General features: G+C 41.8%; 1 protein-coding gene and 1 pseudogene across 5 annotated transcripts in view, besides 2 other annotated features; both read left to right on the forward strand.

Annotated features, from left to right (window-relative positions):
• SV2C (synaptic vesicle glycoprotein 2C) overlaps positions 1 to 16,335 on the forward strand; it is a 506,476-nt gene that overhangs the window by 421,882 nt on the left and 68,259 nt on the right. For all 5 annotated transcript variants that reach the window (XM_011543282.4, NM_001297716.2, NM_014979.4 and 2 more), the window contains exon 5: positions 15,817 to 15,950. In XM_011543282.4, coding sequence (XP_011541584.2) covers positions 15,817 to 15,950 — 134 coding nt within the window. The remainder of the gene's footprint in view (positions 1 to 15,816; positions 15,951 to 16,335) is intronic.
• Positions 1,055 to 1,556: an enhancer, noted in NCBI's record as "H3K27ac hESC enhancer chr5:75566225-75566726 (GRCh37/hg19 assembly coordinates)". NCBI's record gives its function as "activates a minimal SCP1, AML or CMV promoter by ChIP-STARR-seq in primed H9 embryonic stem cells {active_cell/tissue: H9 hESC(primed)}" and the evidence as "EXISTENCE:reporter gene assay evidence [ECO:0000049][PMID:30033119]".
• Positions 1,557 to 2,056: an enhancer, noted in NCBI's record as "H3K27ac hESC enhancer chr5:75566727-75567226 (GRCh37/hg19 assembly coordinates)". NCBI's record gives its function as "activates a minimal SCP1, AML or CMV promoter by ChIP-STARR-seq in primed H9 embryonic stem cells {active_cell/tissue: H9 hESC(primed)}" and the evidence as "EXISTENCE:reporter gene assay evidence [ECO:0000049][PMID:30033119]".
• Positions 11,571 to 12,056, forward strand: PDCD5P2 (programmed cell death 5 pseudogene 2; annotated as a pseudogene).

Genomic DNA, 16,335 nt, shown 5'->3' on the forward strand with positions numbered 1-16,335 from the left:
TAGTAGAAGTATGTCCCAAATATTGCATTGGACATACTTACACTAAAAACGAATTTTTATCAGATGTAACTGCTGGCCTGTATTTTATTTGATTGCCCTACCTGGGCAGCCAACAAGATCGTTGATGTACGAAACAGGATGCGTGTGAGGTGCCTGGCACATGGTGGGTGCATTATAAATATTCAAGGTATCTGCTGCGTACCTTTGAATCCACTTTACCCGTGTCCCTGCTGTAGTCTGCAATTGGTACTCGAGCCTGCCTATCCTTTGCCAAAACTGTCATGAGAGTGGGTGTGAGGAGATAGAAAGCCCACATTTGAATCTGCAAGTTCTGGGAACTAGCATTCTGGTCAAAGCTGGTTTTACATCCACCTCTGCCAGAGGGAGCATCAATCTGCCTATGCTCGAGCACTTTGTCACTGTGGTCTCCCTGAGTCATTAGATCATTTCTGGTAAGTAGCATTCAGAGAAGTGATAGTGAATGAAAAACTGCTGCATTAGTCCCAGACTCAGTCACTCTGCATTTGATTTTTCCAGCAGCATAGCCCTAGAAAACCGTTCACTGGGATGCAGCAGGACCAATCATTTCCACATTCAGTTGCAGCTAGGAACTTATTTCTGAGCCAAGATGAATGACCCAAATAGCCTTTCCAGAGAGCAGAGGTGAAATTTAACTCTGGGTAGTTGCCTGACATTTTGAGACAAAGGAGAAAGGGGATGGGGAATGAAGAAAAATAGCATTTGAATGTCTCCTGCAGGGTCATAAATCTGGATGGGCAAAAGTGGATTGCATCTCTGCCAACAATTTAATTAATTTGGGCTTCTTTTAATCTCTATGATTCATATAACCTGAAGGAAACATGCTTTAAAGCTGTATTGTAGGAAGAGCCTCCTTTGAGTTACATATCAGTATATTAACTCTTGGATGTTTTATTTTTCCAGAAGGAAGTCTAAGTTGTGTGTGGGGGAAGTACTAGGTTTGTTCACAAAAAAATGCATTCATTGCTTTGGGGGAAAGCCCCGTTCCTGTCTGACTGTAGTGAGATGAATCATTAGAAGTGTAATCACAGCCCAGGGGAGGAAAAACAAGAGTAAAGGATTCTGATGGCTCCCAGCAAAGCCTGAGAGTGGGCTGGAGATTTGCATTTGCTTATTCTTGCTGGTGAGCCTTTGCTGATCATCTCCAACTTATAAAAAGTTGCAAGTCTATGGGAAACTGTTTTGAAACAAGGTAATACAAAATGGCAGCTATGACACTACAGAATAGCTTGGGGACATATCTAGCTGGGATGTGTATTGCGTTGGGGCAGGATGTATATTGTGTTGGGGCTCAAACGAGCAGATGCGAAGCCTTTTATGGCTTTGCTACTCAACAGAAAGGTGTTTCATTTTTTAATCCCTATGATTTATTTATTTATTTATTTTTATTATTTTTTTTTTTGAGACAGGGTCTCACTCTGTCACCCAGGGTAGGGTGCAGTGGTGCGATCTCAGCTCACTGCAGTCTCTGCCTCCCGGGTTAAAACACTTCTCCTGCCTCAGCCTCCCTAGTAGCTGGGATTACAGGCACCAACCACTGCATCCAGCTAATTTTTGTATTTTTAGTAGAGACGGGGTTTCACCATGTTGGCCACGCTGATCTCGAACTGCTGACCTCAGGTGATCTGCCTGCCTTGGCCTCCCACAGTGCTGGTATTACCAGTGTGAGACATCACGTCTGACCTAATCGCTATGATTTTTAAAAGTGAAATTATCAGGCAAGAAGAAATGTCAAAAGGGAAAAAAAAGAAATAAAAATTAAACGATTCCATTTTGTGTCTTCAGTGGTAATTCAAGTAACCATGATTTTCTATGTTTCTTCCTCCTCAATCCCACAGTTTGGGGCTCACCAATTCCTTAACATACGCTCTGCCAAATATTAGGGTGCCAGGAAGTATATTGGCAAAGGAATATAGATGTGTCTTGATTTTATAACAGGTATATTGTTCCATTTTCAGTAACGTGATGGGCTATGTTATTGGGACTACCCACAAAAAACAACCGAAAAGAGTTTAACATGACAAATAGGAGGAAAAAATCAGTGAGTGTATAGATGATTTGAACAACACAATCAACAAACTTGACCTAATAGATGTATGTAGACACTGCACCCAATACCTGTAGGGTACACAATCTTTTGGAGCATACGTGGAGCATTTATAAAAATGGACTATATACTGTGCTATAAAGCAAGCTCCAGTGTATTTCAAAAAAACTACTAAGCATGTGTTCTTTTTTTTTTTTTTTTTTTTTTTTGTATTTTTAGTAGAGACAGGGTTTCGCCATGTTGGTCAGGCTAGTCTCGAACTCCTGACCTCCTGATCTGCCCGCCTCAGCCTCCCAAAGTGCTGGGATTACAGGCGTGAGCCATCGCGCCCGGCGTATGTGCTCTTATCACAGTGAAATTAAGCCAAGAAATCAGCTTTTTGAAAATTAGGAAACATAATAAATATGTTTCTAAAAATTCCAGAGTCACATTTTCATCCACTGTACTTGGAGGGAGAGTATGATGTCCCCTTGCTTGAGGCACAAGGACCAGAAATTAGAGCTCCCAGTCATTGTAGTTGCATGCATTTCCCCACCCATTAGAATGGAATTTCTTTGACAAAAATGACAAAACTCTAAGGGTCATTTTGGGCCTGAGTCATGAGCTAAGCAGCTGTTTCAATTGTCAAGTGTTAAATGATTTGTTCTGGATCAGAGACTATAAGGCAAGAAATGGGGCTAGGAAAAAGAAACAGGTTACAGAGGTCAACAAGTTAGCAGAGGTATACAAGTGTGCCCTTTGGGCATCAGCAACAAAGAGCACCTGGGCTGACCTCTGCTGTCTTAATGCTGGAAATATTATAGCCCGCTCTGTAATCTCTCCCCCTTGCCCCCGGGAGAAAAATCTTTCACCTAACAATGGATTCCACTAGAATTTTTGTATTGTTATCACAAAAATCTTCTAGGAATAAACAGAGAGCTTTTGTTGATCATGAGCAAGATCTTCCTGGGGCCATGTGCAAACAGCAAAAAGAAAATTTGATCTGGAAGAGAATGAGAACCATGCAGTTGTTTGGAATACTATTGTTGGGCTTTTTGGGTTTTTACGGACAGCTACTTTGAAAAGCAGATTGACTAAGTTGCTAATATGTGAAATAAGCACCACTATTTTGCTGCAAGTCCTCTATCAACTTTTGGACACTTGTCTCAGGACTAACTGCAGTTTAGAAGGTGTTTTGTTTTGTTTTGTTTTTTGTTTTGAAAGTATTTCGTTTCTTGCCTTAGATCTATACTTGAAAGGACCTTCTTGTGGCCTTATCTGGTAGAGACACAAGATCTTAGAATCAGAGAGAACTTTAGTTCTGGAATGAGCTTTAGAGGCTAGTATTCCAACTTTCTACCCAATGTAAGAATTGCCAATATTTACTTTTGTTTGTTTTTCAGTCTCCTAAGACTGTATGTGTTCATAAAATCAGCATAATTGATTTGTTATTATTCATCCACAGACATCAGCTAATATAATAGTTTATATATAAATACAAAAGTATACATTTCACTTTAAATAAACATTTATGTGAGTAAAATAGAGAAGGAAACTTAATGTGTGCCTATTTGTGCTTTAAGATAATAACATGAATATATACAATGTCTATTTATAGACTAATGAGCTGACTTAACATGCATTTATGATATAAGCTTCAGTTGCATTTGGTCAACATTTGACTATCCTACAGGCTCTTTTAGTATAAATTTGCATAAAAATCTTTTACAAAAAAGATATATATATATATATATATATATACACACATATATATATTTTTAACTTCAGGCTGATTGACCTATACTATCATAACATTAATACTATATTATTATCTATATACAAAAGAAAATCCCAAAGGACCTTTGCTTAAAATATAGACACACACACATACACATGCACATTTCATGCTGTCAGCTTTTTTCAACTCTCAGACTCATCATTTCTCTCACTGGAGTTTGGGAAGCACCATGCTTGAGTCAGTCTTACATGTTGGCCCCAGGAACCCTTTCTGAAAAGTTCCCCTCATTCACTCTTTGCATATTTGGGGCACTCACAGAAGATATTCCAGAAAAAAAAATGACCCTAAAAAAATAAGCCCATGAATTTGTGAGTTTCAAAAGCCACCAGAAAATGTGCTTCTTCGAAAGCACGGTTAGGGTCATAAGTCAAATTCAGGAAGCAGAGGCATAATGTGACTTCCTTCCACCGCTGGCTGCTCCTCTGCGCATTCCAAAGGGCAAGACCAGAGCTTGGAAACAGAAATAGAAAAACTCGCAGGAAAGGTTGGCTTGTTGCTCGGGCCTGCTCTTAAAGACAGATGACTATTGGAGTTTGTTGGAATTTAACCCCTGGACTCTCTCCCTGGGATGTATAATTGGCTCTCACTTCCTGAATGCATGATTATGTGCTGCAGGCAGATCGCTGCCAATTATTTTTATTGTGATTGCTTTGTGCATCTCTGTTGGCAATAGCGTTCACAGGATTTCAGCTCAAGGGGAACGGCCACAGCCCCAAGGGTCCAAGATTAGAATATGACTGCGGTTATAGGTCAAAAGATTAAAGGTCTGTGAATATTGTTCTCTTTTTCACCCAGAGATACCAGGATAGAATCTGGCACTTTCGCCTTGGTATCCATAAGTGAGACCTGTATTGTCAGTGTTTAGATTTGTCACAATCAGAATTAACATTCGTTTAGTTCAGAAAAATATGTAAGTATTGAATAGTGGCACAATTATAATTTGATTCTTTCTCCTCTCTCTTCTCCCATCAGGGCCTGTGTCTCAAAAAATGTAAAGGCTTGCAACTCTTTGAAAAGCTTTCTCTTTTCCTTTTTGGGTAAAAAGTTATACAAGACACTAGAAAATTCAAACATTAAAGAAATGTCAAGTGAAAATCTTCAGAATGGAGGACTATAATTTTTTCAAAAAGTAAAAGTCCTCATGAGCTTCTCCTCCCTACCCTGAGTAACCACTTTAAATAGTTTAGTGGGTTTTCCTCCTAGTCATTTTCTAGATATGTTTTATGTATATATATAAAAACTGATATGTTTTATGTATATATATAAATGAAATCACTATTATTTAAAAGTGCTTTTTTCACTGAGCAATGTCACTTGGACATTTTCCATATATCTGTTTAGAAAAATCGACCTCATTCTTTCCCAATAGTTATATGATATTCCATTGTAAGGCTATACCATAGTTTATTTAACTATCTCCCCTCCATGTGCCCCCCTCCACCTACTACTTGGCCTTTTTTTTCCTTTTTCTCCTTCTTTTTTTTTTTTTCTTTTTACAAATTGAGAAGGAGATGAAAAATCTCTGCTGGTATTAGCAACAGGAACCATCCAGCTGCATCTGGTTAAATCTGGTGGAGTCACAGATGCATGACAACCTGAGTTTCCAGCCAAGGATTAATGTTTCATGCAGATTACATAGTATTTATATTTTAAACCTGTGACATGTTGAGGGGATAAAATTTTATATCTGTAGGAACAAAATCAGAAATTTATCTGATCATTGTCCTCTTCCTAAGCTTGTTGGGCCCTTGAAAAAATGGATTTTGGGCCCCTTTTTAAAGAAAATTTTAGTTGGCCAGGTGCCTTGTGAGTAAAGAAGACCATAGACAAATCAATACAGGTGATTTACTTCTTAGCTTAAAAATTGATCTCACATATGATACTTAATGTTTTCGTTTAGAACCTTGGGTTTGTGTCTTGTACCTAAAATCTGCATTCCTACCAAAAACTATTTCATTAATAATATCACATAACCGACAGTCAAATACAGATCAGTAGGCCAGGTGCAGTGGCTCACGCCTGTAATCCCCGCACTTTGGGAGGCCGAGGCGGGCAGATCACGAGGTCAAGAGATCAAGACCATCCTGGCTAACACGGTGAAACCCCATCTCTACTAAAAATACAAAAAATTAGCTGGGCATGGTGGCGGGCGCCTGTAGTCCCAACTACTCGGGAGGCTGAGGTAGGAGAATGGCGTGAACCCGGGAGGCAGAGCTTGCAGTGAGCCAAGATCGTGCCACTGCACTCCAGCCTGGGCAACAGAGCGAAAGTCTGTCTCAAAAAAAAAAAAAACGAACACAAACAAAAACAAAACAAATATAGATCAGCAAAGTAGGTGTCAAGTCCCCAGGGGATCAGGGACAGAGCCCAGACAAGAACATGAAAGCCAGCATCCTTGTATGTGTGTCACATACCTCTGCCTTGGCACCTTGAAAGGTTTCAGACAGTCAGGCAACTGGGGAGGCAGCTGTTTTCTGCGGTCACAGAGCACATCAGCTTAAGGCTGGTAAAAAGCTTTGATTATTATTCATGACATATAATACTTTTATTAGCTCCACACTGATTAGTGCTGTGCTAGAACTGCTTTCTGTAAAATTGAGATCCTTCCTTGCATGGAACTTATATTATCTGTAGATAAATTCCTCGGTATGACATTTGAATGTCTTAACATTTGAGTATCTTAACAAAGTCCAAAGGATAATTAGAATCATCACTCATACAAGACATATTTTGAAGACAAAAAGGTGTGGTGCCAATATAAAAGGTTCATTTAAAAGAATCCATTTTACTAACTGCAGGTAAGTATCCAAAAGCAACAACCCACTTTCCCAGTTGATTGTGGCTTGTTTTCCCATTCCTGTCCTTTATTCCACGTTGCTGTCTCTCCACTTTCTGATTTTGTAGTGTAGGCTTTGTGTAGCTCTCAAATTCAAATTTAAGCCACTTAAAATGGAGCTCAAAAGCAGGTCCTGAGAATTGATGGCTGAGTAGTGATGGTTGTCAGTGTTTTACACCTTCGTTCTTATATCTATGTTTAACCCAGAGAATGGTATCATAGTTTTACAAAGCATTTGCAGGGTCATTTCTTGAGGCCCTCATGGTGTCTATCTCTCATTCAAGCCACAGGTTATCACCCATCAGCCTTTGACCCTGCCCCCTGCTATGGGACATGCCACAAGGCAGGAGGAGTACCCAACACCCTTTCCAGGACTCCCTCTCAGGGCTCAAGTGATCCTCCCACCTCAGCCTCCCAAGCAGCTGGGACTACAGGCATGTGCCTGGCTAACTTTTGTATTTCTTGTAGAGACGAGGTTTTGCCACTTTGTGCAGGCTGGTCTCGAACTCCTGACCTCAGGTGATCCACCCACTTCAGCCTCCCAAAGTGCTGGAATTACAGGCATGAGCTACAGTACCTGGCCTTTTCTTTTTCTTTTTTTTTTTTTTTTGAGACAGCATCTCACTCTGTCACCTAGTAGCTATGACCACAGGTATGCACCACCACAACTAGCTTTTTTCTTCCTTTCTTTCTTTTCTTTTTTTTTTAGAGATGAAGCCTTGCTATGTTACCCAGTCTGGTCTCAAAATCCTGTCCTCAAGCAGTCCTGCTGCCTTGGCCTCCCAAAGGGTTGGGATTACAGGTGTGAGCCAACACATCTGGCCTTGTCTGTTAACATATCTGCCTTTTTCAATGGATTATAACTTCCTTGAGATCAGGGAATCAGTCTCCATATCACAGCATTATGACAGGCACATATAGGCACTAAAGTAGGAATGAATGAACAAAAAGTAAATGAAGATATCACTAGGCATTAGGGAAACACAAATTAAAATTGTGATGAGATACCACTAGATACCTATAAGAAAGGCTAAAATTTAAGAAAAGAAACCTAACAAGTGAAGGGAAAGATGCGAAGCAGCTAGAGCTTGCATACACTACTGGTGGGAATTCAAAATGGCACAACCAGTGTGCAAAATGGTTTGGCAGTCTGCTGTAAAGCTAAACATGAGCTTATTATGTGACTCGACCATTCCACTCCTACATATTTACCCAAGGAAATTTTGGGGGCACACAGAAACCTGTATGAAATGTATATAGCAATTTTATTCATAATCACCCAAAACTGGAAACAATCTAAGTGTCCTTCAACTGGTGAGTGGATAAACTAAATGTGATATATTTACACAACGGAATACTACAACACAATGAAAAAGAACAAACCACAGGTATGTGCAACAGTTTGCATAAATCTCGACTGTAACGCAAAGTGTAAGAACCAGACCAAGGCTGGGCACAATGGCTCACACCTGTAACCTCAGCATTTTGAGAGGCCGAGGCAGAAGGATGGCTTGAGCCCAGGAGTTCAAGACCAGTCTGGATAATATGGTGAAACTCCGTCTCTACAAAAAGTTAGCCGGGCATGGTGGCGCTTGCCCGTGGTCCCAGCCATTTGGGAGGCTGAGGCAGGAGAATCACTTGGGAAGCCAAGGCTGCAGTGCTGAGATCACGCCACTGCACGCCAGCCTGGGTGACCTAGGAGACCTGTCTCAAAAAAAAAAAAAACAGATTCCAAAAGCTATGTACAATATGATTCCATTTATATGATATTCTAGAAAAGACAAAACTATAGGGACAGACAAGAGATCAGTGATTGCCAGGGGTTAGGGCTGGAGGAAGAGGTGACTCTCAAGGGGCAGCAGGAGGGAATGTTTTGAGGTAATGAAACTGTTCTGTGCCCTGATAATGATGGTGGTTACATGACTCTGCATTTGTCAAGCTCATAGAACTGTATAACTAAAAACAAATAAAGTTTTACTCTATGAAGATAATACAAACTTAATTTGAAAAAGTGAATCAAGGTTATTTTGCTGTTTAGTGTAGATTCAGAAAGAAAATAATCAAAAGAAAATCTGGGTCTGTGGTCCTGTAACCTGCAGTGATTTTGCCCATGCTCATGTACACATTGTGTGTGTGTGTGTGTGTTCAACAAACATTAAAAGAACACTTCCTATGGACTAGCACTTGCTTAGGAGGTCTTGATGAGTGGGAAAAGCAGGGTTCCTGCTCTCTTGGTGGGAGAGGGACAGGTAATATGTAAACAACACATGAATATGACAACTTCAGATAGTGATAAGAGCTGTCAAGACAATAAAACAGGCCTACGTGAGTGGGATTTTGTGTGTGAGCCTCTCTGAGGAGACACCCTTAAGCGAATCCTGGAAGGTACGAAGCCTGCAGCCATGCATGCAAATACTCAAGTAGAGCTGTCCAGACCAGGAAAACATCACATTCCAAGACTCCTAGGGGACAACATTGAAAACCCTCACTTCAAAACTCAGAAAGCCTGGCTAAAATACAACAAACATCCTTTCTATCCTTTCTCATGCGTGGCTGGGCTTCCAGGAAAAAGGCTTAGCCCCCAGGATGGGATTAAGCTCTATGTTCAGAGAACTGGAAGCAGGTCCATGGGACTGGCTCAAGCCAGTTAGAGGACCAGCAGAAGATGAGCTCAGATACATGAATAGGAAGCAGTCTACATAGGCCTTAGGTGCCACGATGAGACATTTGGGTTTCATTCCAAATGTACTCAGAGCTGTGGGAGGCTTTCAAGTGACAGAGTGAAGTGACCTTATTGACATTTTAAAAGGATAACTCTGGCTGCTATAGGAAGAGTGGACTATGGAGGACCAAGAGTGACAGGGAGACCAAACAGGAGGCTGTTGCTAAAGGTCAGGGGAAGGTCCACGTCGGCCAGAACCTGTGCAGTGCCATGGAGATAGGGAGAAGTGAGTGGCTTTGAGGTAGATTTTAGAGCTGGAACTTACTGATGGATTGAACATTGGGGATTGTGAGGGAAAAAGAAGATGAGGATGAGGTCTCAGTTTTTGACACGTGTATCTGGGGTCTGACAGTGCTGAAATAGGGAAGGGTAAGAGAGAAACAAGAGTTTTCCTTGATAGTGTGGCAGGAAACCAAAATTCCATTTTAGACATGGTAACTTTGAGACACCCATTAGGCATCTCTGTGAAGATGTAAGTAGGCAGGTCGAGGTATATTTCTGGAGCTCTGGGAACAGAAAAAGAATGTATTTCAGAGACAGTGGCATGCAGGTGGCACTTACAGTCTTGGAGATAGATTAGTGCCCCTAGAAAGGGCCTGTGGAGAGAGGAGATGACTAATGACCAAGATTTGGACTGTGCCAACCTTTGGGGGCCAGTCAGAGGAGCCAGCTAAGGAAACTGAAGGAAAGCCAGTGAGGTGGGAACGAAACTAGCATGTAGTGATGCAGAAGCCAAGGGAAATAAGTTTTACAAAAAACAGTGGAATGGACAGCTATACAGAATGATTTAGAGAGTTTGATTAGAGTGCAACCATTAAATATGACAAAGACTGGTGGCCTTGGTTAGCGCAGTTTCTGTGGAATTTGGGAACAGCCTGTTTGGGGTGAGAATACTGGGGGAGAAAGTGGAGACTGGCTATAGACCATCCTTTTGAGGTTTTACTGTAAAGGGGAACTGAGGAATAGCAGTGCAGCTGGAGAAGCCTGTGGGAGTGGAGGAAGGGCTCTTTCTCAGGTGTCAGATAGAGATATGCTGATAGAATGACCCATCAAGTAAAGCGAGAGAACATGACGATGAGGGTTGGAGAGGAGGAACAGATACTTACAGGAGTTCCGTCCTTGAGGGAAAGAGAAGGATGAGCTCCACCGCCCATGTGAGCAGGGTGGCCTTAGCTAGGCACATGGACGGCTCATCAGTTGTAATCAAAGAGAAGACAGGGAGATGGAACAGGGGCAGGTGGATGAATAGATTCAAGGATGAGAAGATGAGGAGTATGTAGTTCTCTCTGTGTTTATTTCCTCTAAGAAATAGGAAGTAAGGTCAAGTGCCAGGAGTGGAGTTGGTTGCTGGAGATTTGAAGAGAAATGGAAAAAGGTATAAAATGGTTTTGGATACTGGGGAAAAAAAGCATATTACAAACAAATGGAGAGAGAAATGAGTGGACAACACACCCTTTAGAGAGAGAGAGACACCACCAGCATGTGTGTGTTCATATGTGTGTGTCACACACACATATGCACACACACACTAAGCAATGAAGGAGAGAAGGACCTCAACAGCAACAAGTAGGCTAAACTTCAGCTGTTCAATGGAAGAATCTACACCTGAAGAAACGATTCTAAGCTGAGCAGAGCTGGACTCTGCATCAGTTAGCTCTCTTCTGGGTTTTGATTGTGGTCCAATTCCTTGGGAGGCTGAAAACCGCCCGACTGGAATCATGCTGCAATCAGTCTCTCCATCAGCTGATATGATGTTCCAGAGCAGTAAGAGTGAAGAATAAAATTCAACAAAATTCCCGAGACCAGCTGTCAAGATGGAGCCCGGCGTCCTTGGAGAGGCTTCTGGAGAAGTCCAAGCAAAAGGAGGGAGCCTGCCCCGGCGGCCTCGTGGCCGGCTCCGAGGTGGCCTGGCTGCTTTCCCCGGGGGGTGCCTGGGAGGCAGGCGTCAGGGGCCTCCAGGTGCGGGACCTGCCCGGGTGTGGGGGTGTGGGGTCCCCTGGCCCAGAGCAGGCTCATCCTGCCAAGCCTAGGTCTAAGCACAATCTCAGCTTTTGGAGCCAGCAGTTGCAGCCAGGCCGAATTCAGTTTTTCTGGAATTCAGTTGTTCTGACCCAAGTTCAGCCGACAAGTGAGGGTCTGCTGTGTTCCTGGTGCTGAGAGCGCGACAGGGTCTGAGCCTGCCAGGATGACAGGATCCTGGTGATGCGGCCCAACAGGAAGCAAAGCACAGGGAGGCAGAAATGAGAAACAGTATCTTAGCCCAAGTTCTAAATCAGTCGGCCCCTGGCCAGGTTAAGTAACTTAGCACGTGTAAAGACTAAAAAAACTAAAGCAGTAGAGAATTACCTTATACAGATGACAAGATATGGACAACTAAGTGAGAAGGTATCACAACTAGGTTTAATAGAAATCCTTAAAAAAAGTAAGCCGACAAACAGAAAAGACAACAACAGTGAAATTCAACAGAAGAAAAGTAATAGACTCTGATGAAGATGACGATTATTGAACTAAAAGTTTTCATAGACTAGAACTTAATGGAACGATTCTAGGACGGAAGTTAAGATCTGATTTAAAATTTACTTTGTTTATTGTCTATATGCCTTTTTTAAAAATAAACTTGTTATGCAAAGTAAAAAAAAAAAAAAAGGCAGGGAGCCTGAAGTTTTATAGAGAATGCTACGGTTCTCCAACTTAACTTCTATCAGCCAAGTTAGCAGTAGAGCTTTAACTGTAAGAAGAAGTGTATTGGTTTCTGTTGCTGCTGTAACAAATCGCTATAAGCATGTTGGCTTTAAACAACACAAATTTGTTATCTGACAGTTCTAGAGATCAAAAGTTTAAACGGATTCGCAGGGCTTCTAGAGTCTCCTTCTGGAGGCTCTAGGAGAGATTATGTGTTCTTGTCTTTCCAGCTTCTACCAGCCACCTGCATTCCCTAGTTTGTGACCCACTCCTCTATCTTCAAAGCCAGTAGCACAGCATCTTCAAGTCTCTCTCCAAACTAATCTCTGCTTCCCTCAACCCATCTCCCTTTCTCATTGTCCCTGCCTCCCTCTTTTCCTTCTAGGGACATTTGTATTTACATTGAGCCCAACCATATAATATAAAATAATCTCTTTGTCTCAAGATCCTTAACTTAATAACACTTACAAAGCCCCTTGGCATGTAAGGTAACATATTCACAGATTAGGATGAGGACATCTTTAGGGGTGAGGGAATATTCTACCATAAGAAGCTTCCTGCTGTATCCATTGTAGTGACTTTCTCTTTGGTTAAATCACTTCATCCTATTTGCCTTTGAAAACTTACCTTCTGAACTAATTGAGGTTCTGTGTGAGAAACATGTGAGGGGAGAAGAAAAGGCACACACACAATACCTTTAAGGGTAAACAAGCTTTATCCCACGTAAATGGCAATGCAGATATAATAAGCAAATTGATATAATAAGCAAATGATATAATAAGCAAATTGATATAATAAGCAGATTGACATAATAAGCAAATTGCAATGGGAAGGAGAGAAGGGAAAAGAGATTTACATTCACCAGACTATGGAGGATTCACCCCCAGACTGGGAAGTAACAGCCTGGACTCCAAAGTCAGCCACTCATCCATGTACAGACAAGGAGAGGTCTCATGAAGCTTTGGCGCAGTCTGGGACCCCAGCTCTTTTTGTAACAAATTGTTTGGCATGAGGCCCAGTCATGAGGGCCCTTCTCGACTAGGCTCAAGGAACACAAAAAAGTCAACCTGTTTTTGTGATTGTCTATTGTTTTTCAATAACTAATGTGTAAGAGTCGATTGAAATAGAGATTTCTCTGAAACAGTGCTGGATGAATGCCTCAAGTGGCTCACATAACCTGTTCTGGGACTTGGTGACCATTGTTTGTGTCCATGTTCATCTGAGTTCAAATTTAATATTTAACTTTTCCTCCACAATTGATTAGAACAGTGGTACCAGAGGCTAGGCACAGTGGCTCACACTTGTAATCCCAGCACTTTGGGAGGCCGAGGCAGGCGGATCACTTGAGGTCAGGAGTTCGAGACCAGTCTGGCCAACATGATGAAACCCCGTCTCTACTAAAAATTCAAAAAAACTAGCCAGGCATGGTGGCAGGCACCTGTAAACCCAGCTACTCAGGAGGCTAAGGCATGAGAATCATGTGAACCCAAGAGGCAAAGATTACAGTGAGCCGAGATCATGCCACTGCCCTCTAGCCTGAGCGACAGAGTGAGACTCCATCTCAACAAAACAAAACAAAAACAAGTCTGGGCGCGGTGGCTCAGGCCTGTAATCCTAGCACTTTGGAAGGCTGAGGTGGGCAGATCACGAGATCAGGAGATCGAGACCATCCTGGCCAACATGGTGAAACCCAGTCTCTACTAAAAATACAAAAATTAGCTGGGCATGATGGTGTGCACCTGTAGTCCTAGCTACTCGGGACTCCTGCTGAGGCAGGAGAATTGCTTGAACCCAGGAGGTGGAGGTTGCAGTGAGCTGAGATTGTACCACTGCACTCCAGCCTGGCGACAGAGCGAGACTCCATCTCAAAACAAAAACCAAAACAAAAGCAAAAGAACAATGGTACCAGAGACCTTCCCTTCTCTTGCCTTCGTTGTTTCCCCCTATACTTTATGAAATGTGCTGTGGCCTGAAATTTAAAACATTGCATTTGCTTAACTCAGCCACCTAAAGCTTTTATTTTTCTTTCAGTGCCTTAAAGTAATAGGATTTAGAGCTTTTAAAAAGAAGTTCTTTATATGAAGCTCTGAGATCAAATGTGAAGTCAACAAGTTGTTTTCTCTGATCCATCATAGGGTTTTTTTCTGCATTTTGGATATGTGAGAGTTTTGAACTTCTGCTACATAAAACATCATAGCAATCATACACCCTACAGTTTATGATATAATTAATATGGTAATATACACTATCTTCATATATTAAATTCCCAGAGTCTACTAATCTAAGATTAATATAGCATGTCATTGATGTTTACATCATTTGTCAACAAATTCAGCATTTAAGAATGAGTAAGCATGCACACACATGAGGCTGTGTGTGGCTGTAAGATTCTGTCTCAAGTCCTGGCAGGAAAGACTAAGGTGTAACTTCAGCTCTGTGGCCTTGAGGAAGTTACATCACCTTCAGAATCTCACTTGGCTCCCAGGTAGACAATGAGTAATTATACAGCTCTCCTGGAGATAGGATGTATATTATCTGATTTTTGTTCACAAAAAGGCATATAAATACCAAGCATTGCTATAAATTAAAATTTCACCTCACATAATTCATCTATGCCTTTATAAATCTCCTCTCTGTTTTCAATTAGATTTGATATGCCTCATTATTTCTCATTTAGAACCAGCCATTGGAATGAATTTTATATTCATTTGAATGGATATAAAATGGTTTGCTTTCAACCATTTTATGTTTATTCAAATATTAGCTTTCTTTTAGTTCTTGAAAGGATTTCTGTTTATATCCCATTATGCTTATTTTTCTATTATATAAAAATTTATATTTTTATAATATTTAGAAGTTGAAGTGTTCTATTTAGAAATGTAAAATTCTCTGGATCTATTTCATGAGGTGGATGAGGAGACATGCAGCAACCGCCAATTCCTAATAATTGTACTGGTCAGGGTGCCAGCAGGAAGCTAGTGACACCCTCAAAAGGGGCCGTGGAAAGGTGTTTAGCGAAGGGACTCTTTATGAAGATGTGGGAACCATTCAGAGAAAGCAATAAGGAATAATAAAGCACCCTGGATCCACCTGTGCCTCAAAGAGCAACAGGAGGGAGGGGTGGCCAGACCCTGACAAGAGCTGTGGCTGCTGTGAAAGAAGGCCCAGGAAATGAGAGCACACACTGCCAGACCTCCAGCCAGTCAGGGGGAAGGGAGAAGGGAAGCAAGGGAAATAATATCCCAACCCTCCTTCACTCTGTTCTCTTGCCTTCCTTCCTTTATTCAAACTTAGCTACAAGCCAGTGGGCAAGGGAGCCGGTTGATGCAGTCCACAGAGGGCCATTCCCTAGCACACAGCAGAGTGGGAAAGAGTGGAGAGTGATCTGGAAGAGCAAACAAAAGATAACTAGCACAGTGGTCTATTGGAAAAAGCATCCCAAATTTATGTTGGCCTTTGGGGTTTGGTACATGCATACCTGCACCCCCATACTTAGGCCTTGACCCCTTTGGTTCCAAGCACCTTTCTTCTCAGCTCTGCCATTATGGGTCTTAAAGCTGAGCTGGCCACCATGGATGATGCCCAGATCAGCTCACTGCTCTGTGGATAGTAAGACTTGACTAATAAGTCCATGGTTCGGGCATCCCGGGTGATGTTCCCAGGAGGCTGTCTGGGAGGAGCTCTCCCTCACTCTCCGTGTCCTCCTTTTCCAGGGTGGAGCTTCAGCATGGGATCGGCCTACCAGTTTCACAGTTGGCGTGTGTTTGTCATCGTCTGTGCACTCCCCTGTGTCTCCTCCGTGGTGGCCCTCACATTCATGCCTGAAAGCCCACGATTCTTGTTGGAGGTAACACTTATTATTGCAGATACTCAGGTAGCCCACCTCTATTGGAAAAAGTTCCTTGTTAATTCTAGGAAAGCACATTTGCCTATTTGAGAGGTACATTTTCCCTTCCTATTATAGAATGATGGAGGGTTTGGTTTCATGGAGACCTGCTTTCAACAACCAACATGTAAAAAAGCTGCCTCATGGCTAGAAAGCACTCATGTTTCTCCTTAAACAAATAACTTGGCTCAATGAAGAAAACATGATTTATTGTTTTATAGCGAAATTTTACCATCTGGAGATACTATTTCTAGTTATAACCATATTATTTGAACTGCTCATGTATTCAGTGATATCCAAATAGTCTGTATGTTCCAATGGGATGTACTGAGATACATTTGCACAA

The sequence above is a fragment of the Homo sapiens genome, chromosome 5, assembly GCF_000001405.40.
Source record: "Homo sapiens chromosome 5, GRCh38.p14 Primary Assembly".
NCBI lineage: Eukaryota > Metazoa > Chordata > Mammalia > Primates > Hominidae > Homo > Homo sapiens.